This window comes from Homo sapiens, chromosome 20 (assembly GCF_000001405.40).
Source record: "Homo sapiens chromosome 20, GRCh38.p14 Primary Assembly".
In the NCBI taxonomy this organism is placed as follows: Eukaryota; Metazoa; Chordata; class Mammalia; order Primates; family Hominidae; genus Homo; species Homo sapiens.
Window position 1 is genome coordinate 56,958,919 of NC_000020.11, and position 27,249 is coordinate 56,986,167.

At 47.2% G+C, this 27,249-nt stretch overlaps 1 long non-coding RNA gene across 5 annotated transcripts, besides 1 other annotated feature; it reads left to right on the forward strand.

Moving 5' to 3' along the window:
- Window positions 9,192-9,701: an enhancer, noted in NCBI's record as "H3K4me1 hESC enhancer chr20:55543166-55543675 (GRCh37/hg19 assembly coordinates)". NCBI's record gives its function as "activates a minimal SCP1, AML or CMV promoter by ChIP-STARR-seq in naive H9 embryonic stem cells {active_cell/tissue: H9 hESC(naive)}" and the evidence as "EXISTENCE:reporter gene assay evidence [ECO:0000049][PMID:30033119]".
- LOC105372683 (uncharacterized) lies at window positions 15,717-26,886 on the forward strand. 5 transcript variants are annotated; one of them, XR_936898.3, is made up of 4 exons: window positions 15,717-16,504; window positions 18,584-18,680; window positions 24,838-26,444; window positions 26,542-26,886. It is a non-coding gene; the product is annotated as an uncharacterized LOC105372683 (long non-coding RNA). The 5 variants fall into 5 exon arrangements; XR_936895.3 differs by having other exon boundaries at window positions 24,838-26,886; XR_936896.3 differs by lacking the exons at window positions 24,838-26,444; window positions 26,542-26,886 and adding an exon at window positions 18,817-19,222.
- The last annotated feature ends 363 nt before the right edge of the window (window positions 26,887-27,249 follow it).

The window sequence follows — 27,249 nt, forward strand, 5'->3', positions numbered from 1 at the left end:
AGTGAGGACGAAGTCATCTACTGAGCTCTCACTGCATCCATGGACTAACTGATTTAATCTTCACAACACCCAGAGAGGGGAGCACTATTATTATGCCCATTTAAAAGCTGAGAACGTAGAGGCAGAACAGTTGAAGTAATTGACCCAAGGTTGGCTTCTATCACAGTACCATTCATGCCTTCTCATGCAACTGGATATTTAAAAATTTCCTTCCTTCCCTCCCTTTTTCTCTTCCTCCCTTCCTTCCCTCACTGCTTACATTTTTGATATGAAAGCTGCTCTTAGTTTTTAAAAAAGAAGCCAATGATACAAAAGTGAGGAAGGTAAGACATCAAAGTGTCCCACACCTGTGCCTTACTCCTCTTAAGCTGCTCATCATTTCATCAGTATCACGTTCACACACAGTGTTTTTAGTAAGTAAATGTCATGAATTCATTCAACAAACATTCGTTGAGGATTCAGAACATGTAAAGGATTGTGCTATGGGGTAGATGTTTCTCAACTTCAGTACTAATGGCATTCGGGGCTGATTAATTCTCTGTCTTGCGGGGCTGTGCTGTGCACTGTGGGGTGTTCTGCCGCATCCCTGGCCTCTGCTCATCAGATGCCGCAGCACGCACCCCTTAGTTGCGACAACCAAAAATGTCTCCGGACATGGCCACGTGTCCCGTGGAGCCTAATGTCATCCCTGGATGAGAACCACTGGTCTAGGTGGATAGAGCTGTACGGGGCTCTTCTGCTGAACTTTCCCTTAGCTGTTGCAGAGTGGCGTCCTGAGGCTTAAGCTCAGACATTCCTAACTCTCACTTTTTACACCAGATTCAAGAGTATGGAGGTGCTAGAACTTAGTGAACTCCCCATTAATAGATATTTGGGGCTGTTTCCATTTTTTCTGCATAAGAATCAATGTCACAACTGCTTGTTCACACCTGCATCTGCATACACACATCTGAGTATTACTACAGGACAGATTCCAGCAAAATTGCTGGATCAAAGTATAGGCATTTAAATGTTTGCTATAAAATGTTAACATCCCCTCCCAAAGAGGGTTGTACCGATTCGTCCTCTCACTGAGGACATTTGAGAGTGCCTGCTAACCGCCCCCTTGCTGACAGGGATCAAAGCCATCAGGAAGAGCCCTCCGAAGAACAGAATGAGTTGAATGTGTCAGAGAAAAGAGGTGATCCCACGTTTCACTCAACGGGGCTCTTAGGTCATTTGTTTGCACTTTGCTTTTAACCTTATTTTTCATGAAATAAACATAATTACTCAAAGTGGCAATTTCAAAATTTCCAACATGCATAAATAGAGGACTCGCATTTGAACTTCAAAATATTAATGAATAAATTAGAAGCACGTGGGCGGGTCCTAGATTAGTGACCCTGTTGCAAAGAGAGAGGGCCTGGCAGACTAGCCCAACCTCAGGATTCCTCTGCCATCCCAGGATGCAGGCCAAGCTCTGAGTCCCAGAGACATGTGGATAGCCCAGGTGCATCATCTCTGAAGGCCATGCAAGGCAGGTTGGGGGCCGTACCCGCAGAGACCTGTGCTCCCCAGAGACAGTGGATGTCCTAAAGAGGACGGCTCCCTGAGGTCACCCTCCTCACTGTAATAACCTGCTGCTCTTCTGCCTTCAGGTTCCCCTTCCAATGACAAATCTCTGGCTCAGTTTGCATTTCCCCTCTGAATTAAATTTGAAGCAAGAAATTATTTTTTTTCTGTTTGAATACAGATAGGAGAGCAGGCTGGGTGCGGTGGCTCACACCTGTAATCCCAGTACTTTGGGAGGCCAAAGCGGGTGGATCACCTGAGGTCAGGCGTTTGAGAATAGCCTGGCCAACAGGGCAAAACTCCATCTCTACTAAAAATAAAAAAAATTAGCCAGGCATGGTGGCACGTGCCTGTAATCCCAGCTACTTGGGAGGCTGGAGAATTGTTTGAACCCAGGAGGTGGAGGTTGCAGTGAGCCGAGATCATGCCACTGCACTCCAGCCTGGGCAACAGAGACTGACTCAAAAAGCAAAACAAAACAAAAACAACAACAACAAGAACAAATAGGCAAGTAAAAATGCCTCTCTGGAATTTCAAGATAATGTTGTCGATTTGATCACAATGGGAACCTCCAATCTTTGCAATGGTTATTCAAATGGATAACACTCTGAACATCTATTTTTTTAAAAAAAACTAAATGAGATGAAATTATAGAAATAGCTAAATCATGCATATGGGTGCAACATTTCAAAGGCAAAGAAAAAGTTATAATGAGGGAAGTAAGCTTCCCTCCCTGCTCCTGTACACCCAGAGGCAACCACTGTTACTATTGGGGTAACCCACATGACATTTCAATATTTACTTGTTTTCCACCAACAAAAATGGCAGTTTCACTGGATGCAGTGGCTCACACCTATCATCCCAGGATGGCTTGAGCCCAGGAGTTTGAGACCAGCCTGGGCAACATAGGGAGACCTCATCTCCACAAAAGCACAAAAATTAGCCAGATATGGTGGTACACCATTAGTCTCAGCTACTCAGGAGGCTGAGATGGGAGGATCACTTGAGCCTGGGCAGTCAAGGCTGCAGTGAGCCATAATTGTACCACTTCACTCCAGTCTAGGTGACAGAGTAGGAACCTGTCCAAAAAAAAAAATGACAGTTTCATATGATTCAGTCTGTTACTCCCAGTTTCTCATTTTCTCAGATACTCTGTGTGTATAAATACACACTTAGACAGAATCTTTCTGTTTTCTTTTTTATATAAATTACAGCAAATTATACACACTGTTTTTCATCTTGCTTATTTCACTTAACAATGTATCTTGAAGGTAGCTCCATTTTAGTATTTAAAGAAGAGCTTCATTCTCTTTTTAACAGCCACGGAATATTCTGTTGAATGGATGTGTCACGATCTATTTAGCCAGCCCCCAGTGATGGACAATTAGATTGTTTTCAGTCTCTTTCTACCAAAAACAATGCTGCAATGCCTATCTTTGTACACACATTATGTCTCACAAGTGGGAGTATGTTTGCGGGATAATAAGTTATTCAAGGTGGAATTGCTGGGCCAAAGGATGTGTGTCTTTTTCATTAGGAAATCTATTGCCTAATTGTCCTCCATAGACGTTGCGTCAATTCATACCCTGAGTAGACTGACAGGTCCAGCTTGACACTGTGCCTGATTTTAAGGTCCACAGAGCAATGAATGTTCTCCACGGCTCTGAGATGAGTGGCACTACCGGGGCAGTCTGGGAAATGTGGAGTGTCTAGATAACGTGCCAAGTTTGGCTCTGTCTCCTCCAAAAGGCAGATAAGGATAGGGAAGTCTCCTCTGCAAAGCAGTCTCTTAGCCTGGAAGGTTGTGGCTGGGAAAAGGAAAGGAGGGGTGTCTCCATGTATTGGAGATGAAAGAGGGAAGTTAGGCCCTAAGACCCTCTGGACTCTCTTCTGCTCCCAACCTAGGAAGGGCTGTCACCCCAGAGGCTGTTCAACCTCAGGTGCCCACTTCACAAGCATTAGGTAAAAGACACTGTTGACACAGTATGTGGCTAATGTGTGTGCCACAGATTGATCATCATCAGGTGGCACGAGTTTCTGGTCTACCAGCGTGCTCTGGCAAACCAGTTGACCATCATTAGGCTAGGGATGGACAAGCCAGTGGCTGGTCTTGGGAAGCAGTTTAGCATGTTTCAATATGTTCTTAATTTCTTTAACATTCTCCCTTCAGAAGGTGAAAATGGATTCCCTCCCCTTCAATGTGGGACAGGCTGGATGGTGAAATAATCATCTGTGACTTGCAAGACTGACTCATGCAAGGCAATACAGCTTCTGCTGGCTCTCTCCTTCTTGGATTGCCCATTGTGGGAAAAGCCAGCTGCCATGTTGTAAGGACACTTAAGCAGCCTGTAGAGGGGCCCACATGGGGAGGAAGTGAAGCTCCTCACCAACCAGCAGCACCAAATTGTCAGTCACCTTGGACATCACCTTGGAAGTGGATCCTCCAGCCCCAGTCAAGCCTTCAGATGACTGTGGCTTTGGTCAACTTCGTGACTACAACCTCATGAGAGACCCTGAGTCAGAACTGGTCAGCAAAAGGGCTCCTGTATTTCTAACTCATAGAAACTGGAAGAATATACATGTTTATTGCTGTTTTAGGACACTAAGTTCTGGATAATTTATTGCCCAGTAATAAGTAACCATACATATGGCCAGGTTGATCAACTTGTGATGAGCCTGTTCTATCTGCTTCTTTGCCTCTACTTCATGTCTCCCAGCCTTGCGAGGAGGGAGAGATCCTCTTCAAATGACATGGAAGAGCAGATTCTACATCTTCTATGAGGTCAACATGAAGGAAATGTAGCCCATTACGAGAGGTCAAGAAGGATCCTGAATGTTCCTCTTCACCTTCACTGCTACCCTGTCACTGCAGGGTGTGGGAGCATTTCATAAGCTCCCTTACCCTCAGCTGTGTCATCTGAAAAATGGGGTGATAACCAAAGATGTAGTGTGGGCCCAGATAAGCTCTTCAAGTCCCTTAAAGCATTGAGCACCAGCTTTTATACATTTTAATTCATTCACGCATCAATCATCCATTTATCCACTCAGCAAATTTATGCTAAATGCCTACAATGTTTTAGGTACCATGAGAGGTGCTAGGGATATGAAAGAGAGCAAATCAATATCCCTGTTATCAAGGGGATCCCAGTCCAATGGGAGAGAAGATGGAGAGATGGACCAGTAACACATGATGTAATACAACTGTGCCAGGGCTGAATGATTACAGTAAGGAGAGCGGCCCCCTCCCAGGGTGGAGGAGCAGAGACATACAGACTGTGACTCCTGAGTGGGCCCTAAGACCCCTGCCCTGCAGAACCACAAAACCAGGCATAGTGTTCCAGGTTCTTGATCCAGTGTAAGTGGCAAAAATGGAATCAGAGAAGCTTGGGATATGAGGCTAGACATCCTGATGACCTAGCTGGACATATGCACTAAGTAAGGTCCAGAGGGAGGAGAACTTGCCCAGGGTTATGCAGATCCTTTCACCCCTTGAACTTGCCCAGTTCATTGCTTCCCCCAGGCCTTTGCACATGAAGTTCCTCTTTGCCAAGATCACTCCCACCCTATCCCTACTTTCTGGTTCAGAGAGCAGTGAGCTCCTTGTCACCATACAGATCTCTGTTGACATACTTTCTTCACAGCAAGGGCGCTATAACGAAGCCTGTCTTTGCCCACACTCTTCAGCCCTGTTTCATTTTTTCATGGCACTTGGACAATCATAATTGTGCTATGTATTATATGAGTTTCCCTTCCTGTTTTTGGTCAGCCTTCCTCATTAGAGTGTAAGCTCCACTTACACTCTAATGTAAAAAAAGTAATTTTTGTACTTTTTTTTTTTTAGTAGAGATGGGGTTTAATCCCGTTGGCCAGGTTAGTCTCGAACTCCTGACCTCAAATGATCTGCTCGCTTTGGCCTCCCAAAGTGCTGGGATCACAGGGGTGAGCCACCATGCCTAGCCAAGATCAACCTTTGAACCACACCAGTCTGGGGGCTTATTCCAGCTCTGCCCCTTACCGGCACTGCCACCTCATCCTCACCAAGCCTCAATTTTCTCGTCTATACAATAGGTTTTTTGATGATCAATAAGAGAATCCATACATGTAGAATCCTCTATGCAGTATTATCCAATAGAAAGAGAATGCAAACCACATGTGTGCTTTTAACTTTCCTAATAGCCACACTCAAAACATAAAAAGAAACAGGTGGAACTAATTTTATTATAATTTATTTGGCTCAAAAGATTATCATTTCAACATGTAATCAATATAAAAATCAGATATTTTACATTTTTTTGGTACTAGGTCTTCAAAATCTGGTGTGTATATTTTACACTGACAGCACATCTCAATTCAGACCAGCACACTTCAAATGCTCAAGAGCCACGTGTGGCTAGTAGCTGCCGTATCAGCTCAGTTCTAGTAGCTGCTGTATTAGCTCAGTTCTAGCATAAGGCTGGGCCCATAAGAAATATGACACAACTATGGATCACTTCTGGCTGCTCTTAACATGGGTACTAGAGAGAAGAAGAGATTCTGGGTTTTGGAGAGAGATTTCAAACATGGAACCCCCTGAGCTGAAAGCCACCTGGTGATGAGAGTCTGCTCCTTCAGGTCGGTTCTGAAAACTCTGAGGGCTGCTTGCTCACGGTCTGCATGAAAACCACAAAGAAAAGCAAATAATAGCCCAGCATCCCTCAGGCAGAGCCTCTCCCACAAGATTTAAATTTAAATAATGTCTACTATGAGTTACACTGAGGGAGTTCCAAATTTCCCAAACCATTGCTACTTAAATGTCATGTCCCCTGCTCATAACTCTCTCTCTCTCTCTTTTTTACTTTTTTTCTTTTTTTTTTGAGATGGAGTCTTGCTCTATCGCCCAGGCCGGAGTGCAGTGGTGCCATCTTGGCTCACTGCAGTCTCCGCCTCCCAGGTTCAAGCAATTCTCTTGCCTCAGCCTCCCAAGTAGCTGGGATTACAGGCATCCGGCCACCATGCCCAGCTAATTTCTGTATTTTTAGTAGAGATGGGGTCCGCCATGTTGGCCAGGCTGATCTTGAACTGCTGACCTCAAGTGATCGGCCCACCTCGGCCATCCAAAGTGCTGGGATTCCAGGTGTGAACCATCGCGCCCAGCCGCCTGCTCATAACTTTCAACGGCTGCTTATTTTCTGTTGGGTTAACGCTGAACTCCTGGGGCTTCTAAGCTCTTCCGGAGCCTGAATCCATCTCAGTTCATCCAGTCCAGTCTTCCCATTGCTCTGTTGTAGTTAAGGCAGCCACAGGCCAGGCCTGTGGATTGTCAGGGGGGAAAAAGAGGTGGAGAATGGTGCTGAGACCAAGGGCTTGGGAGAGCGTGGGTGGAGTCAGGCTGGCTGAGATCACAGACATCACAGTGAACATGTTACAGTCATTACATCTCATGGGGCGTGCTCATCCGTGCTAACTCAGTAGGTCTTTGCCACAGCTCCACAACATAATGTAGTGGACGTCTCCCGTTTAACCTGCCCTTGCATCCCTTTCCCATTTCTGGTAAGAGCACCCCAAACTCTGACTTGGAGGGTCTACCCCTCTGTGCTCTATCAATGTGGTTCTGGTGGTACCAACGACAATGTGGCACTCTTCACTCTGTGCCACAGGGAGGCCTGTGACCCAGGCCAGGCCAAACCTAATGCCCTATTCTTTTGGTTACAGTGATTAGACCCAGGAACTAGACATGTGTCATGAGTCTGGCCAATCAGAGCCTTCCCTGGGATCTCTAAATACTGATGTGAGCTGATTACGCTATGAAGATACACAAATGGAGCTCGTTTTCATCTGGTCTGAAGGCATGTGGGAGAAACCCTTCTGCAGGAAGAGAGCATGAGGCCAACTTGCAAGAGAAGCAGAGGTGAAAGAGAAGGAAATGGGAGAGAGAGGAAATGATATAGCCTTTGAGCTGCTAGATCCAGCTGTGCCTGAAGCCAGCCCCCTTTTTTTTTTCTTTCCTTTCGTGGATCTGCTTGGCATCTTTTACTTAAGCCAGTTTGAGTTGGAGTTCCAGCACATGCAACCAAAATAGTTCTGACGAACATAAGTCAAGATTAGCCCCTCTGTTGCATGAATGAAAAGACTAAGGCCAAAAAAAGCTAAATAATTGCTCCAGGCCCCCTAGAATGCAGAGCCAGGATTTGAGTCCTCATCCTTGGACTTCTCATCCTATGCTCTTTCCACAACATCCCCCACTGTGCTTAATGTCTGCATTAGTTTCCCATGGCTGCTATGGCAAATTGCCACAGACATGATGGCTTAAAACAATATAAATGTATTTCACAGATCTGGAAGCCAGAATCAGAAACAATGAATAACACACTGAACCAAACCACAGGGTATCAGTAGAGCCGTCCTCCCTCTGCAGGCTCTACAGGAGGATCTGTGTCTTCGTCTTCCAGCACCTGGTGGCTGCCAGCATTCCTCAGCTTGTGGCTGAATCCATCCAGTCTGCCTCTGTCATTACTTGTCCTCCCCTCTATGTGCATCAAATCTCTGTCTGTCTCTTATGAGGACACTTGTGATGGCCTTTAGGGCCCACCTTGATAAGCCTAGATTATCCCCTTATCTCAAAAAGATTCTTAACTTAATCACATCTGCAAAGAGCCTTTTTCTCCAAAGTCACATTCACAGGTTCTAGGGATTAGGACCCAATATCTTTAGGTGGCCACTATTTAGCCTAATAGAGCATCTGAGCTCTCAGGATTTAGTGTTTAAACATCCATGAATCAGCCCTGAACAAAACCTTCAGGACCCAATAGTCCAGTCTCCCCAGCCCAGTGGTTAGTTCCCAGCCTCCTCTTTCTTCTCCGTTCAGATGCCAGCACAAGACTGAGCACAGGAGTCAATCCTGACTCAGCCTCTCCTCCCCTAGGCAGGAGTAAACCAAGGGTATTTCACCCTTTTAAAAAAATGGACCCCTTTCTCCTTCCTAAAGGCAACGCCTGCTGTTCACCCTGCTTAAATCTGCAGCTTCTGGTTGTAAGAAACAGAGCCACCATGGCTATCTCACATAACAGGGATATGTTATAAAGCTACTTTGCACATTGTTGGGGTTCAGGGGGTCTGACTGCCTGGATTCGAATCCCAGCTCTGCCATTTTTTGGCTGTGACTTTTGAACAGGTCATTTAACTGCTGGGAGCCTGGAGCCTCTGCTTCCCTGAAGATGGGGATGCTGGTCTTACCTCAGGGCTGGGTGACTGTGAGGGTTAAATGGGAGTGCATGCGTTCCCGGAGGAGCCTGGCAGTGTTATTACTGTTACTGTCACAGGGAATCTGCATTTTTTTTTCCTTTGCTATAAACTGACTTTCTCAGGTTATAAATGTTAGATACTATTATTTCTACCAAATAGAATCTGAGGGTTATGACTTCCTTGGGCCCCTTACAGTGTGTAAGTCCTCAGAACCCCAAGTGGTACCCTGCCTCTATGGGCCAGGGCTCCTGACCGGCCCCAGGGCATCCTTCCACGCCCACCTCCATCCCGCAGGCCCTTCTGGGCTTCCCACCCTGGGGGCATTGGTTGGCACAACCCACTGCATCTCAGCGCCCCACCCTGGTCCAATCAGCACATCCCATCACTTCCCAGCACAAGGCCCTGGTCCAATCAGCGATGGGCAGTTGGACAGCATGGGCGGGGCTGGGGGTAGCGTTGGGTGCCTGTAAGACCCAGGTGCAAGACTTGGTCTGGCCCCAGGACAGGTCCTGGGGGCGGGCAGTGTGGGCAGCCCAAGGCCACGGCATCTCTCGGCTTTGCTTCCCCGAGAGCCTGTCTCCACCTCCTCCACTTTATTCTCACTCTTCTCCATGCACCGGGTTCACAGCCTCCCTCCAGCCCCCTATGAAGCCTCCCAGTATTTATTCACCCCATCGTGACCTTCCCTTTTGGACGATCCAAGTCCTTATCTCCAGTGGGATACATAAGACTTTGCAAATTCTTCCCTAATCATGGGCTCCCATAGTGTTTCTATTTTCCTCGTTGGAAACAACAATAACAATAATGATCCTAAAAGCAGCGAACGGTGCTGGGCTGTGGTAGTTGCCAGGCAGTGGCTAAGTGCCTTTATGTGTATTGACTCGTTTCATTGCACACACGTCCATGCATGTGGAGTGTAGGAGCTTTATTTTATTGCTAATGAAGCTGCGGAATCTGCTAAGTCTCAGGGCCAACAGACAGACCTTCCGCCAAGGTTAGTTCCATTCTTTTGCTAAGTGAATTCCAAATAAATAAACGTGAATGCTAAAACCATACTGCCCTATAGCATTACTTTAAAAATAAAACAACTAATGATTTTTTTTCTGATTACAAAGTAAAATCTGTTCATATGGAAAATTTGAGAAAAAAAAAACCATACTAAGCAAAAATAAAAATCACCCACATAAATATTTTGGTTATGGCTGTTTCCAAACTATCTGTCTATCTGCTTCTATCTACTTTTTAGGGGATTACATTTAAGCCATGACTTATTTATTTATTTATTTTTGAGACTGAGTTTTGCTCTTGTTGCCCAGGCTGGAGTGCAATGGCGCGATCTTGGCTCACCTCAACCTCCGCCTCCCAGGTTCAAGCGATTCTCCTGCCTCAGCCTCCCAAGTAGCTTGGATTACAGGCATGCGCCACCACACCTGGCTAATTTTGTATTTTCAGTAGAGACGGGGTTTTTCCATGTTGGTCAGTTTGGTCTTGAACCCCCGACCTCAGGTGGATCCGTCTGCCTTGGCCTCCCAAAGTGCTGGGATTACAGGCGTGAGCCACTGCGCCCGGCCTACGGCATGACTTTTTAACATTTTCCAAGTCTCTAGGGTTCTCTGATTGGATATTTATGTTGTATCCTATTTTTCTGCTATTGTAATACCTGAAAATATTCTTAAACCTGTATTTCTGCCTGCTTTTCTGATCAATCATTTCCTTAGGATAAGAAGTGTGTATTTCTTTCTTTTTTTTTTTTTTTTTTGAGACAAGGTCTCGCTCTGCTACCCAGGCTGGAGTGTAGTGGTGCAATCATAGCTCACTGCAGCCTCCACCTCCTGGGCTGAAGCCATCCTCCCACCTCAGCCTCTCGAGTAGCTAGGACCACAGGTGTGCACCACCATGCCCAGCTAATTAAAAAAATTTTTTTTTTTTTGTAGAGACAGGATCTTCCTAGGCTGGTCTTGCATTCCCTGGGCTCAAGAGATCTGCCCGCCTCAGCCTCCTAAAGTGCTGGGATTACAGGCGTGAGCCACCATGTCTGGCCTGGGGATGTATTTGTTTCAAGCTTCAGATGCACATTCCCAGGTGCCCCTGAACGGCTGCAGCCATTGCCACCCCTCCGCAGTGTCGGAAGGACCCCGCTCACCTCCTCAGCAGCTCAGGGGTTATTTTGGTTTTGTTTTTTAAATCTTTGCCAGTGTTTTCCTTTGCATTCTTAAATTCCTGATGCCATGAATTTATTTCATTTTTCTATATGGAATTTACTGGCCATTTGGGCTTCCTTTCCTCTTCTTTACAGCACAGATTTTACACATTTTCTCCCCAGCCTTGGCATTTTCTTTTTTTTAAACCTTATTTCCCCTTCCCCTTGATCTATTATCTATTTAAAACATGATGCTGGTTATGTGGTTATGAGTCCCTTCTGCTTTAAAGGTTGGATAAATGGATGTACGGCATCAGCTCAACAGCTGAATTAGTTTTCAGGTCATCCCACCCAGCTGTGCTAGTCTTTTTTTTTTTTTTTTTTCTTAAGACAGGGTCTCACTCCCATGGCCCAGGCTGGAGTGCAGTGGCATGATCACAGCTCACTGCAGCCTCAACCTCCCTGGGCTCAAGTGATCCTCCCACCTGAGCATCCTGAGTAGCTGGGACTGAAAGTATGTGTCACCACGCCCGGCTAACTTTTGTATCTTTGTAGAGACGAGGTTTCACCATGTTGCTCAGGCAGGTCTTGAACTCCTGGGCTCAAGCGATTCTGCCCACCTCAGCCTCCCAAAGTGCTGGGATTACAGGTGTGAGCCACAGTGCCCAGCCTAGCTATTCTATTCTTGCCACTGGAAAACCCTCACAGAAGAAGTGTGGGAGGCCACATCGGAGAAGAGGAGGTTATGCTAAAGTGTCCAGAAAAATGGTGCCTACATAAAATAATTCAGGATCTCTAAAAATCACTATTCACTTGCCATCCCATAGGGTTGTGAAGATGAAATGATGTAACGTATATGAAAACAGAACATTCTCTGCTCAGTTCTTTGGAGGGTAGAAGTATTTAGACAAAGCACTTCAGAGTTTATAAACATTTATCAAGAGCATTTTGCAGCTCACCCCAAGGCTCTCTGGTAGATGCCATCTCATCTGAAATTGTCAATGCTTTGCTGGATCAAAGAAGTTACATGAAAGGGGACTTAAAATGAAAGGAACAGCCCACAGGAGCTTCCTGTTCAGTACCTGACATTGGAAAGGTTTTATCCCAGCGGATCATAACCACCTTGCAAAGCAGATAGAACCACTCTTCAATAGATGGCATTTATTGCTTATTACGTGCCTACTGTGTGCTAGGCTCAGTTCGAAGTCCCTGGGGATGGAACAAGGAGGGAGGAAGACAGACAAGCCGCCTGCCCTCACAGGGCTTTAGGTTCCAGGGGTACAATTCCAAGGAGATGTTATCCTCTTTTGATGGATGGAAGTCTCAGGGATGGTCAGTCACCTGCCATGGCCATCCAGGACTAGAATGCAGATGTCCCTAACCTCAAAGCCCCTCACCATCCTGGGGTCCCAATTCTCTACTACATCGAAGCAGCCGGTACCTCACATGTGTATTCTCATCTCCATTCAGAAAGCTCCTAACTACATTTCCTGGAGGTGCCCTGTGTCCAAAGGTGCACTTTGTCTGATCAGGCCCATAGATAGGGGCCTGTCATGGAAAGTGGCAAAACCAAAACCATCCAGAGCGATTTAACCCTTCATCGCCCATTTGCTGCTGTCATGGGGCAGGAGGACAGGAGCTGTTTCAGACCCAAGACTTTTCTGGGGATTTTAGATGGAGGAGTCCTAATCCCTGTTTACTCTGTCTCTATATTGGCAAGTGTTTCCCTGGGCTTAAAAGGGCAGAGAGGGGAGGCTCTTGTTCTAACAGCAATGAAGCCATCTTGCCACTGGTAAGAAATAAAATGATGAGAAGATTGCTGGGCCTCAAGTCTGTCACCCACACCCCACTTCTCTGGGCCACTCAGACACTGTCCTCCTGGAGCCAGTCCAGGACCCTCCTCTTCTCTACTGGGGACAAAATGGGAATAATAATACTAATAATGGTAAAGAAATGAAGCATTTGCTTTCTTTTCAAAGCTCTCCCAAGGGTTCAGCTGGGCTTTCTGGCCAATTCTCCCAAGGCTTTAGAAAATAGGTTTGAGTTTGCTGAGGGCTCTGCATCCACCTGTTGAAGAAGGCTGAGGGAGTAACTGAATTTCGGGTTGCTCTCAAGACAGTGCACAGAAACAAGAGGTCCAAACTCTCACCTCCAAGGTAAACCCTTCTGATTTTAAAGGTTTGTGGGAATGCCAGCATCACTGAGCAGCCCCAATCCTCAAAGAACACTCGATAATGATTTATGGTTGTGGCTTTACCAACCAGGCACGGCAGGAGTGAGAATATTCATGCTGATGCTTATTCGTGATCTGCGCTAGGTGAATTACAGGCATGGTCAGGTGTCAGCCCAGAGACAGGCCCACTGTGGAGTAGGTGACACATGCCGAGGCCCTCTTATTTGCCCAGAGGTGCACAGTTAAGTAGTGAAGGCAGAATCCAAATGCAGATCCATCTGCTCCACTGTCCTGGGTCTGTTTTGTTTGTTTGTTTGTTTGTTTGTTTGTTTTTTGAAACGGAGTCTTGCTCTGTCACCCAGGCTGAAGTGCAGTAGTACGATCTCAGCTTACTGCAACCTTCGCCTCCCAGGTTCAAGCTATTCTCCCACCTCAGCCTCCCGAGTAGCTGAGATTATAGGCACGTGACACCATACCTGGCTAATTTTTTCAGAGATGGGGTTTCACCATGTTGGCCAGGCTGGTCTTGAACTCCTGACCTCAGGAGATCTGCCTGCCTTGGCCTCCCAACATACTGGGATTATAGGCATGAGCCACTGTACCTGTCCTGGATCTGTTTTTAAAGCAAAACCTGGCGTCTCCCACCTTCAGCTGGCCGCTGGAGCACTTCAGACTCCATCTGGGGAGCGGAGTGCCTTCCAGGCACTTTCCCTCTGCCCCAGGCTGGCAGCACAGGGTCCCACTCGCCATTTGGGGCCCCAGAAGGCAGAGGGGCCCGGGGTGAGTCTGAGTCTGCTCCCTTTGCAGTGAAGGCAGACTCCAGGGAGCTGGCCTTTCAAATGCAGAAAACAATTGTCCTGCCTTCCAAGCAAATGACAGGGGCTCATTTTGGAATCTTCCAGTTGCTCCTTTCCCCACTTCAGATCTGGGACTGCTTTTTCCAGCCTCTGCAGAAGGCAGGCCTAGCAGGCACCCTCAAACAGACTTCTAAGTGGGACTTTCAGTGCCAGGCGAGGTGTCACCCAGGACCCCCCACCCATAGGCTGAGGGAAAGAACAGTGCCAGATGACACCATACCTGCCACCTGCATCCCCTCCCGGGTGTGACCCTGGGCAAGTTACATGGCTTCCCCTGCAGTCTCAGCACTGTCTTCCTTACTGGCTGGTGAGGAGGGTCCCATGGAAACTGGCTCCTGGCAAATGCTCCGCTAAACAGAAAACGGGAGATAGGCGTGGGGGTGGGGGCACAGGTGCCAACGTGGTGCCTTCAATTTGCTTCCCCCCTCCATTTTGGGCTTTTCTTGGTTTGTTAGTGACTAATGGGACTTGGGCAAACTCTCAGGCGCATCCAAAGGAGAAGCCGTACTTGGAAATCAGACTCTATCCCCTTGAGTCAGATGAGGATGAGAGACTTGATCTCATTTCTGCCAAGGCCACAGGGCTGGATCCTGAGAACTCAGCATGACTTGGACCTCCCGAGGCCTCTGGGTGAGTGATAGGGCTCTGGAATCTGAAGTCCCAAAGCTCAGTGGGCAGAATGGCCTTGGCCCTGAAGCTCAGTGTTTTCCCTCCTTTTCTCTCCAAGGATCAAAAGCCAGTGACTTTCAAACCCGACCAGATCCCAGGTGTCCTTGGAGATTTCTCAGGACTGCCCCCGGGATGGAAAAGCCTCCTTCCACCTTTTGTGGCCTCAGTTTCCATGTCCTTGAGATTTCAGCAGGGACAGCGCCAGGATCCTTAACTAGGAGACACGTTGTAGACATACCTAGGGGGAGGCCTGGGCATCCGTCTTAAAGCTGCATTTATTTGCAAAATAAGCTCAGTGTTTTTATTTGTAGGATAAGCTAAGTAGATTATGTAAAATCTCCACGTCTCCCATCCATATTGCCAGTGTTGTGTGGTTCTGGGTATGATTGCACCCTGAAAAAAAGTGTTCTATGCCGAGGAATGAAAATTAAAACCCACAAATCTAACCTCTCGAGTGCACGCACGCACGGTAGTCACTTAGCGCCTCCCATGAGCCAGAGCTTTCATTTCCCATCCAACTCTGGAAGTGCTGCTTTTCTTGTTATCCCCACTTGCAGATGCAGAAACGGAAGCTCTGAGGGATGGCCTCGCCCAGCACACACCTTTGCAGAATTTGCTTTCAAAGCCAGGTCTCTACTACCATCTCCAGCACGCTGCTGAGCCTCTATGTGCATTAGAAAGTAAAATCACAGATGAATTTCTCAGCCATCTCAACGCGCCCCATCTCAACGCGCCCCATCTCACATTCATTATCATTTGCTTTGAAGGATTTTTTTCTTTTTGAACAGAAGGGGCACCTGGCTTTCCTACTCTGATTTGCAGATGTGTGTTGAAGGAATGGAGAGAGTAGATTTTGCAGTTATTCCCTCTGGGCCCTCCGACCTTCTTGGAGACCTGTCATGCAGGGTTAGCAAAGCCATTTCAACACACTACTGTGGTGTGGACAACCAACACAGACTTTGCTGCCCCGGAACAGCTCCCCACTGCCACCTCCACCCCAATTCTCTAGCTTTTAAAGCCTTTCACTTGGCAGGAAAACGCTGCCCCCTTCTGGCTTAAATGGACAGGCACGTCCAGGGCAAGGATTCAGATTCCTGTGAACGTCATTCAATGTGAATAATAGGCGCACTGAAGACCAAAGGATAAATCGGGGTAAACGGGGCAGGGCAAGACAATGCCGCTGGGCGGAGATGAAGATTTTGCGATACCCTCTTCACTTAACGAGATTCATGCAGTCCCTTCGGGGCAACAATAGCATTGCCACCAGTTGCACAACCCAAGATGTTGCTGACAGACTGTCCTCTGTGGAAGAGGTTATAAAAGCATCTATGATTTCAGAAGGGGCAATAACTCCAATAACTAACACAGTCTCCAGGGGTGACTCTCAAGCCGTGAAAGTCAGGACAGCGGCAGGAAGCCCCACACCGCCAGCAGGGATCCTTGGCTGCCAGTGGAAGCTGGGCTTGGCTTTGTGTGGGTTCTGCGCTCCTTCGCCCAGTTTCAAAACCTCCCGCACCTGTGTCTTTCTCCATGCAAATGAGCCCAACAGGAAAAACAGGCGCCTGTGGAGGTTTCACAACAACCTAGAAGCTGTCCCATGCCAGATCTCTGTCGGTGAGAAAATGTGTGTGGATGCTGACTTCTAGAAGACTCCAAAGCGCTTGTCTTCCCCACTCCCCATTTCCAAAGGCTGAGACTCCTCTGCACTCCGAGTTTCCTCCCACGCTTCGTCTGAAGAGTGGGTTTTGGGGAGTGAAGGATAGAAAATATCTGAAGACTCTTCCCTATGACTTAAGACATGAATTTTCTTCTCAAGTCTTGAACTAAAGTCAGAAAGTGTTTGCAAGAAATGTTCTTCTAGGTCCCACATCCACGGGACCAGATGATGCCTGGGTGAGCATGTTTTTTATGTATTTATTTATTTTTGAGATGGAGTCTCTCTCTGTCACCAGGCTGCAGTGCAGTGGCGTGACCTTGGCTCACTGCAACCTCCACCTCCCAGGTTCAAGTGATTCTCCTGCCTCAGCCTCCCAAGTAGCTGGGACTATAGGCGCCTGCCACCACGCTCAGCTAATTTTTGTATTTTTAGTAGAGACGGGGTTTCACCACATTGGCCAGGATCATCTTGATCTCTTGACCTCATGATCTGCCTGCCTCGGCCTCCCAAAGTGCTGGGATTACAGGCATCAGCCACCACACCCAGCTGGGTGAGCATGTTAAAGATCCCACAGGGAAGGAGCATGAGGGTCAGATGGGGGGAACATGGGGACCAGTTGGAGATGGAAAATGAGGGGTCAGATGGGGAAGGAACAGGAGGAGGTTAAATGGAAGAGGAACATGAAGGTTCAGATGGAGGAGGAATATGGAGACACAGATGGGGAGGAATGTGGGGGTCAGATGAGGGAGGAACAGGAGATCAGATAGGGGAGGAACGGGAGGAAGTCAGATGGAGAAGGAGCATAGAGGGTCAGATGGGGAGGAACAGAGGTCAGATGAGGGAGGAACATGGGCATCAGATGGGGAAGGAACAGGAGGAGGTCAGATGGGGGAGAGCATGGAGGCTCAGATGAGGGAGGAGCATGGAGGGTCAGATGGGAGAGGAACAGGAGGAGGTCAGATGGAGGAGGAGTATGGAGGCTCAGATCGGGGAGAAGCATGGAGGGTCAGATGGGGTAAGAACAGAGGAGGTCAGATGGAGGAGGAACTTGGGAATCAGATAGGGGAGGAACAGGAGGAGGTCAGATGTGGGAGGAGCATGGGGGTCAGATAAGGGAGGAGCACGGAGGGGCAGACAAGTCTGCTCTTCTGGCCTAGCTTGGGCTCCAGAGACTGGCATCCCCCCGGGCGGGTTGGCCTAGTGTGTGTCTCTGCTCTCCTTGTTCTTTGTAGCCTGTTTTTGTCCCACCAGCCTGTGAGCACCGTGTGACTGGGACCCGCCTCCCACATGAGTGTATCCCCAGCACCAAGCCAGGGCCTGGCACACAGCAGAGCCCAGCACGTCTTTGTTGCACGAGTGTGGGAAAGTGGCCAGCATCCAGGAGAGGAAGGGCCTGGCATGTTCAGCCCCTTCCCCTAACTGGGTCTTGATCACTATCCTGTAAAAGGAGGGAAATGGCCACGGTTTTCTCGGCCATCGGCTGGCTGGACTGTGCATTCTCTGGGGTGCCGTAAAGTCCTGTTCTGGGGCATTGCCCTGCATGATCAGCCTCCATCATTTTCCTCCCTGAAGTGGGAGGCAAATGCCAGCCCCCAGAGGGCAGGAACCCAGCACTTCCTGAGCGACATGTGGAGCCCCAGACCCCAGCTCATTCCGTCCCCCATGACAGGTGTGTGGACACTGTGGGGCTCCTGTGTCTTCACAGGAGTGATTATCCAGTGACCAGATCCCCACCAGGGGTAAGCAGGGAAACTGAGGCCTACAGCCCAGAGATTCTGGACTACCCAGGCCTTTGTCATGGAAATCACCCATTGTGCCCCTTTTGTGTGCTGGGCACAGTGCTGGACCCAGAGCTCACTAGAGTGAGCCGAGCCCCTGTGCCTGTCGGCCTGCCTTACAGTCCGGTGGGGGAGACAGAGATTAAAGGAATATTTGTACAAATAATTCATCCCAGCGGTTGAAAGTTCTCCTGAAGGAGAATGACAGGGGACCCTTTGGGAATGGAAAGGTCAAGATTGGTGGGAGATGACAGCATCACAAAAAGGGAAGAGCATGCTCTGGTGGGGGAACAGCTTGTACAAAGGCCCCAAGGCAGTTCTTGGGGAAGCGCAGGTGCAGCTGGCACCATCTGTTCCTTTTTCCTCCTACCAAGAGCTCAAGGGTGATGCCTGAGGTAGCTTCAGCCATCTCCCAGCCATGAATGAAAGACCAAGGGAACCTGTGGCACTAGCACTATTGAACTGCTGAATTCCCTGCAGCCACCTAGGTCCAAGTTCCCATCATGTAAGAAGCAGTGATTTTTCTTTTACTTGCAGCTCAATGCATTCCTATCTGAAGTGGGGCAGAGAGGCTGGCAGCCTTCTTTACTAACCAGGCCTGGGATGAGGTCAGGGGACACTGCTCCGTCACAAGGTGGGTTCAACTCAAGTGAAAAGGTACCCATTCCCATCATCACCCTGCCACTAGTGGGAGCCCCTCTGTCCCTCTCTGAAAACCCCTTACTGCCACTGGAGTTGGTCTAATCCTTGGAGGAAATGTCACCCCTTAGGAAATGCCCAGCTCAGTCCTCTGGATGACCTCCCACATCCCAGGAACAACGAAGGTCATGTTATCCAGATCCCTCACAGGGTCCAAGTGCACCCCCTCTGGCTTTGCAGCTCCTCCCTCCCTCTGCTCTACAGACCAGCGACCCATCCTGGTGAGGTCACCGAGTTGTCCTGTGTGGAGTCCGGCTCTTGTTTCCAATGGGGAAAACAGCTTTCCTCAGAAAGTTCTACTCCCTCTGGGGAAAACGACTGAGAGGCTCTTGGCAGGGCTATTCCCAGTTTCCTCACTAATTACTCTGGGATATTCCCTCCTGAATGAAGAAACTTCTATAATTTGGGTTATAAAAGATCTCTTTGAATTTTCTCCAGAGTCTGCTGTGATTATAACAATAAAATATACGACACACATGAAGACTTTCATCCCAGCAGCCCCAGGCTCACTGCAAACGAGTCATAATTATGCATCTCAACAGCACCCCCCATTCTCTCCCAATGTGGAAACTGAGGCAAAAGGAGGTCAAGGCTATGGCTCCTCAGCCACCAAGAGACCCACAGATCTGCTGTGACTTCCCTGTGCCCAGAATTCCAGCCTTGCGGGGAAGCCGTGGGAAGTTCACTCAGGCCATCTCAAATCCCAAATGTCCACCACCTTGAACACCCATCTTTGGACAGTGGGAAAGCTGTGATCCAGCTCCATCTGGATCCTTTAGTTACCCTAAACCTTGAGCGGCCATGGAGTCCCGACTTCTGACCTATGAGATTACACAAAAACAATACAAAACAGCAAAACACATGATAGAACAGTGAAACGCGAATGCTGCGTTGCTTGGGTAACCCACGTGTCCGTCTCACCAGGTTGTGAGCTCTCCCAGGCAGGGACCACGTCGCCATATCAGGGTCAGTGCACGGGCACAGGATGCCACCTGCCGTGAGCACCTGCTGTGTGTTTGATACTATTCCACACCATAAGGATCCAGAGATTTCCACCGGGGACTTTGCCAAGCTGTTATCTCCCCTCATGACTGAGTGTAGAACAGAGTCCCAGGCTGGGCGCAGTGGCTCGCGCCTGTAATCCCAGCACTTTGGGAGGCCAAGGTGTGAGGAGCACTTCAGCTGAGGAGTAAGAGATCAGCCTGGGTAACATAGTGGGGCTCCATCTCTACAAAACACAAAAAGATATACTTTAGCCAGGCGTGTGGTGTATGCCTGTAGTTCCAGCTACTTGGAAGGCTGAAGCGGGAGGATCCCAGGATCCCTTCAGCTCAGGAGTTGGAGGCTGCAGTGAGCTGTGAGGCCACTCCAGCCTGGGGGACAGAACAAGACCCTGTGTAAAGTGGCAGTCCTCTACCCATGTGTGAGCGTGATCACTTCCACAAATGAACACTGAGGAGGTCTCTTCTGTGCCAGGTTCTGTGCTGGGCCTTGGGATATAAGCAGCATGGCCCTCCCTTGTGGGGCGCGTGGGGAGAAGGATGTTAAATAATCTAAAAAAGGGGCCTAAAACTCAATCTTTGAAGGTGAGCTGCAGGGTGGTGTGGTCTCTTTGATCTCTCAGGGGAGCCAGGGAGGGTGTCTGTCGAACGGTGACTGTGGAGGTCAGATCAGATGCATCAGCAGGAGGTAGCAAGACAGAGGTGGGAGGGAGGGCTGAGTGGTTGAGGCAGTGCACACAGTTGTGCAAGGGCCCGGGGGCAGGAGGAAATTTGGTGTGACAGAAGGACTGAAGGCAGTGTGGCTGGACAGTTGGGCTGTCCAGAGCATTGGGACCATGCTAAAGATTTTATTCTTGATCCTAGGAGCAATGGGAATCTATCAAATCATTTTAAGCAGGAGCCAGATTTGACTCTATGCACATTTTTGTTTGTGTTTGTTTGTTTGTTTTGAGATGGAGTCCGGCTCTGTCGCGCAGGCTGGAGTGCAGTGGCGCGATCTCGGCTCACTGCAACCTCCATCTCCTGGGTTCAAGCAATTCTCCTGCCTCAGCCTCCCAAGTAGCTGGGATTACAGGTGCATGCCACCATGCCCAGCTAATTTTTCGTATTTTTAGTAGAGATGGGGTTTCACTGTGTGAGCCAGGATGGTCTCCATCTCCTGACCTCGTGATCCGCCCACCTCGGCCTCCCAAAGTGCTGGAATTACAGACGTGAGCCACCGTGCCCAGCCATCTCTATGCACATTTTAAGACATGTCTGCAAATATTTTCTGTAAAGGGCCAGATAGTAAATCTTTCAGGCTTGGGGGAGCATAGGGTGGAAATGGCTCAACTCTGCCCACAGAGTGCAGAAGCAACTGTAGACAATAAGCAAAGAATGAAGAAGTGCAGCTGCCTGTAGCAAGCAGGAGGCCCACAAAAGGGATATCGATTATTACTGAGGACATGACTGCAAGTTATGATTCACTCACTCCTGCATTCACCCATTCAACAGATACATTAAGTACCTGCTACAGGTGAAGCATTCTTAATCTGAAAATCTGAAATGCTCCAAAGCTCAAAACTTTTTGAGTGTTGACACCATGCTCAAAGGAAACACTCTTTGGAGCATTTGGGATTTCAGAGTTTGTGTGTGTGCGTGTGTGTGTGTGTGTGTTTAATTTCATTTTTTAAACTAGAGACAGGGTCCTACTGTATTGCCCAGGCTGTCTCAAACTTCCGGCCTCGAGTGACTCTCCCACCTCAGCCTCTCAAAGCGCTGAGATTACAGGCATAAGCCACTGCACCTGGCCGGGATCTCAGATTTGGGGATTACGCATGCTCAACTGGTAAGTATATTATAAATATCCAAAATCTGAAAAACACCCAAACTCCAAAACCCTTCTGATGGCAAACATCTCTGGTGATTGATAATCAGCCTGTGTGTATGTGCCAGGCACTGTCCTCCGCAGTGGGGAAACCGCAGAGAACGAAACACTTCCCATCTGAGTGAAGCTTGTGCTGTCGTGAGAGAGGCAGATGATAAACCATGAATAGGTAACATAGTGTCAGGGAGAGATGAATGCTAGGAAGAAGAAAAATAGGAAAGGAATGGGAAGTGATGGGGGTCTCCTTTAAATAGGAGGGGCAGGGAAAGTCTGAGGAGGTGACACTGAGCTAGGACCTGAATGCAGACAATTGGGCGGGGGAGCCTTCTTAGCAGCAAAGAGCACATACAAAAGGCTGGAGGCAGGATTGTGCTTTGGGTGTTGAGGGAGCCAGCGGTGAGAGATGCAATCTCCAAGCCTGTGGCTATAAGATGTAAACTTGAGAAGTGTACAGAGACACACTGTTAAACTACACACACCATGAAGAACAACATTTCACCCAGCAGGATTAAGCTATTTCCATTTGTGCGTTCAGTAGATGTATTGAACCTACCTGTGACCCAACCCGATCCCCTCTGGCCTCCAAAGATTTGGGCCAGTAAAGACAAAGACCTGGCCGACCTGTGTAGACTGAAGAATCCCAGCCTCCGGCTCAGTGTCCACAGGCCAGGCTTAGGGAAGAGTTTGTGTGTGAAGTGACAGACCATAGGACTGAGCCACAATCTAGGCTCGGAGTCTTTGAAGCTAATGACCAAGCTAATGATACACAAACCCGGGAGTTGAAGAGGACCCCCGACCAAAACTCTAAATTAGCCTAACCTCAAACTGTGTCAAACTCAGCCAAAAAAATGTTATGAGCTTGGTTTGTTGTTTCCTCCCACCCTCTCTGCCTCCTTCCCTTCCCTAAAATACAGGATGGGTAGGAAAGAATCTTGCTTTGCAAGAAATAACAAACACAATCACGATGTTTATGAAGACTTGACGTGTGCTAAGTGGTTTACACTGTCAGAAAGGAATTATGAAATAGACAGAAAAAGATTACTAAATCTCTAACATTCTCTTTAGTTATCTGATTCTATAAGAGCCGTTGCTTTTCATTGTCTTTATTGATAGTAATACAGATGCTTTCTTTTTTTTCTTTTCTTTCTTTCTTTTTTTTTTTTTTTTTTTGAGATAGTCTCATCCTGTTGCCCAGGCTGGAGTGTAGTGTTGCAATCTCAGCTCACTGCAACCTCCACCTCCCAGGTTCAAACAATTCTCCTGCCTCAGCCTCCCAAGTAGCTGGGATTACAGGTGTGCACCATCGTGCCTGGCTAATTCTTGTATTCTTAGTAAAGGCAGGGTTTCACCATGACGGCCAGGCTGGTGTCGAACTCCTGACCTCAGGTGATTGACCCGCCTCAGCCTCCCAAAGTGCTGGGATTCCAGGCCTGAGCCACCGCGCCGGCCAGATGATTTCATCTGTAGAAATGCAAATGTTTTGTCCCTGGAAACACTATTTTTGCTCTGTGACTATTAACTAGTTCTGCATCTATTGGTAAATTCATTTCAGCATTTCTGATTGCCTATCTATGTGTGTGTTTGAATTATCCTTTGAACTATTTGTAACATCTTACTGAGTGCCTGGTTAATTTTAAGAGTTAAGTAAAAATCTTTGTTTTAGATTTATAGAAGAGTCATGATTTTGTCTTTAAAAATATGCTTTAATAACATGCATAATCTTATTTCCAACCCTGTGAGGTGGCTATCATTACCATCATCCCCATTTTACAGACTTACAGAGGAAAATCGAGGCCTAGGTGTCATGAAATTTGCCCAAGGCCGTCCACAGGTCATTGCTTGAGCCAAGCTTTGCACCCAGGCAATTTGAACCCAGAGCTGAATCTGTTCACCACTATACCACGTGGTTCCTGTTGTGTAGCCTTTCATCACTGTATGGTGTGACAGGCTCACCCCCAACTGGGCTGCTGCATTTCAAGTTGGTGACCTTGATGTTGGCCCTTCAGGATTCCCCAGTGTTCAGTGCCTTTGTAGTTGTCCAGTGTGGCCAGCTCCACTGGGAACCCCACGGAGAAGGCGTGAGGCCTTTTCCTCCACTGTGTTCTTCTCTGAATGCCTACTGCAGAGCTCTGACCTGTGTGGGTGCAGCCAGGTTCTTACTGATGGGGAATGGGAAGCCAATTGATAGAGGCCTTAAAACCTCCAGCTTGGCCACATGCTGGGGCTCATGCCTGTAATCCCAACACTTTGGGAGGCCAAGGCAGGAGGATCACTTGAGCCTAGGAGTTTGAGACCAGCCCGGGCAACTTGGCAAAACCCTGTCTCTACAAAAAACACAAAAATTAGCTGGGAGTGGTGGTGTGCACCTGTAGTCCCAGCTACTTGGGGGGCTGAGGGGGTGGATTGTTGGAGCCCAGGAGGTCGAATCTGCAGTGAGCCATGATTGCACCAGTGCACGTCAGCCTGGGCAACAGAGCGAGACCCCTGTCTCCCACCAAAAAACCCACCTCCAGCTCAGAGTCTGTACTTGTTCCTCAATGACACTGAGGTCTACTGCTTTTATTTGTTTAACAGAATAAATGCAAAGCAATAGTATGATTGCTATCACAAGAATGTCAAATTCTTTAAGGTAGCAAAGAACAACTATAACCTGAGAATGTTACTAGCTGATAGATGGATTGGCTTTTAAAAACACCCAGAAACTATTGAACCACAGATATTATCTGAAGGGAGAATGAACAAATTAATGTTTCATTTAGTTGCTGTTCCTGTATGAAATTCTAACCACAGCTCAATGGAGTCAGAACCCCAATATTGCTGTGGTGTGTTTTGTGAGCAGTATTTGTATTTGCATGCTGTGGTATTGCCAGCTAACAGTTACTAAGCACTTTGCATCCAGATCCTTTGTAAATATTTTATATACATGTTCTCATTTAATCTTTAAGTGACTCTATGGTGTAAGTTCTATTATTAGCTTTGTTTTATGGATGAAGTGACTGAGGTCCAGAGACATAGCCACTTGCCAAAGGCCCCAAATCTGCTAAGTGGAGCTGCCAATCAAACTCCCCTGCACATACATAATTCACACTCATTCTAGAAGAAGAGGAAAGCTCAGAGAGGGAGTCAAAACTCCATTTCTAGTATTTCCTTCCAACAGGGAACCCTGTCCTCCCTCTGAAGGTAGCACTCTCACTTTAATTTCTAAAATAACTTTTGTTTCCCAGCTTCCTGATGGAGTAGCCAACCTTGCAGATGGCCCTCGATGATCGGCAGTACCTGGTCTTCATGTGCTTGTGTTGTTCCTCAATATTGTCCCTCAAATGTTGAATCAGGACTACAGTGGAAATTATAATGTGACTTCTGAGGCCAGGTCATAAAAGGCATTGCTGCTTCTGCCCTGGCCTCTTGGATTGCTTGCTCTGTGAGAAGCTAGCTGCCATGTTGTGAGGACACTCAAGCAGCTCTGTGGAGAGGCCCATATGGAGAGGAACTGAAGGCTGGGCAACAGCCACACCAACTGGCCAGCCAAGGAAATGAACTATCTTGGAAGTGGGTCCCTAGCTCCAGCCAGATGCATGTAGCCCAGCTAAAAACTGAATGCACCCTTAGAGCTCCCAAAACAGAACATTCCATCCAAGGTGCTCTCAAATTCTTGAACCAGAGAAACTAGAAGAGATAACAATTATTTTTCTTTTAAGTTCCTAAGTGTTGGGGTAACTTGTTATGCAGCAAAGCATAACTAATAAATATTTAGTTCCTAGAAGCAAGATGCTGCTGTAACAAAAATCTAAAAATATGAGAGTGGTTTTGGGACCAAGAGTGGGAAAAAGTTGTAGAGACCATGAAGAGAGTGTGAGGGAAAGCCTAAATGGTCTTAAAGAGACTGTTTTCAGAAATATGATGGCCTTCAAGGAGGCTATTGGTAAGATCTTGAAGAAAATTGAGGAACATGTTACTGGAAGCTGGAAGAAAGGGGATTCTTACCCATGGAACAGCAGAACATCTAGCACATTTTGTTAACATGGAAAATAGAAAATGTACCTACTGAACTGGGTGATCCAGCTAAAAAGATTTCCAGGCAGAGTGGTATAGGTGCCACCTTGATTTTCGTTGCTACTTTGAGTAAAAATCAGAGGAAAGATAAGCTAAAGAAGAAAAAAACCTATTTATTACAAAAGAGGCAGAAACTGCAGGGTTTGAAAATGCCCAGTCTGTCAAGGTAACAGACAATGTGAAAATTTTAAAAACATTTTGAGACAAAGATAAAATCCAAAGTACAGCCAGAAAAACAGAGCGTAAAGATGAAACTAAGGTGTGGCTGCAAGGTTTTCTTGTTTAGACCTCAGAACTATGCAAGGTGTAGTCTTTCAGCCACTTCATAGCATCCTAAAGTAGAAAAGAGATTTGCGGGTGTAGCTTTTGTCTAACAGAGTGAATGTCAATAAGATTCATAGGACACTTGCAAAAATTTTAAGAGAATTTCACTAGCAAAAACATTGCCAGCTTTGACTGAATAGAAAAGAAACACTACAAGATGAACTGAAGACTTCTATTGGCAAATAAACTACTCAACTGCAAAAACACGTTTACTTTTATGAAAAAGAAAAGATAATTCAGGGATTAGAAGCAAGAACCCAGAAGACAGAGCCAAGAGCTGTAAAGAATCATTTTCAGCAGTAACAGGACTGAGTCCTGGCCAAGGAACTTGCATAATGTTCCTGGCTAGACTTCAAAATTTATCAATAATAGACAATCAGTGTACCTAGTAACTACCTGAAGCACACAGAGAAATCAAAAAGGATTCATTAGAGAAGGAAAACTTGCCAAGCAGGTAGGAATCTGATTTACAATTGCTTTTTTTAAAAAAAGACACCTATGGTGGAGCTTTCTTGACTAATTTTCTTCCTTGCATTATTCTTGATACACAGAGAAGCCAAACCAGTGATTCATCCATGACTCAGTCATAAATAAAGTGGCAAGTGGGATGCTGACTGACTTTGGCACCTGAATTCTAAGGTGCTACAGAAGTGTGGATTTTTATCAACAAACTAACACAGAGTTGAGGTTTTCAACTCCACTACTATGAGCCCTGGGACTTCCAAAGAGATGTCTCTCGGTCTTTCTTGGGGAGGAGTAAAGGTGAGGGTTGCTTTCTCCTTCAATTCAGCTTGAAACAACTCTGCTTTTTGTTCAAAAATTTATACACACATATGTGTAGTCTTTGTACATGAAAATGTAAAGAAGAAAATAAAATTGGTACAGATTAAGCCCAAGACAACTCCTACTTTCATTAATATAATTGCACGAGGTTAGCATGGTAGGTGTTCTGATGAATATGCTCCACCTCCATTCCACCCTCCCTCTAGCATCCCTGCTTGTAAGGCAGAGGCTATAAAGATGAAAATCATATTTCCTGGACTCTTTTGCAGCTAGATTTCTGGATGTGAATTAGATTCTGCTAAATGGATGTACCTGTGTGGAATTTGGAAGGTGAGGCAGGTGCCATTGTCCTGCCCCTTTTGGATGTGAGAGATGGGGTTTACTGCAGCTGCAACCCCCTGTGCATTTTCCAGCTTGTTCATTGTTGAGAAGCAGGTACGGTCATGTGCTCTCGAACTCTGTGGTTCTATTGGCAA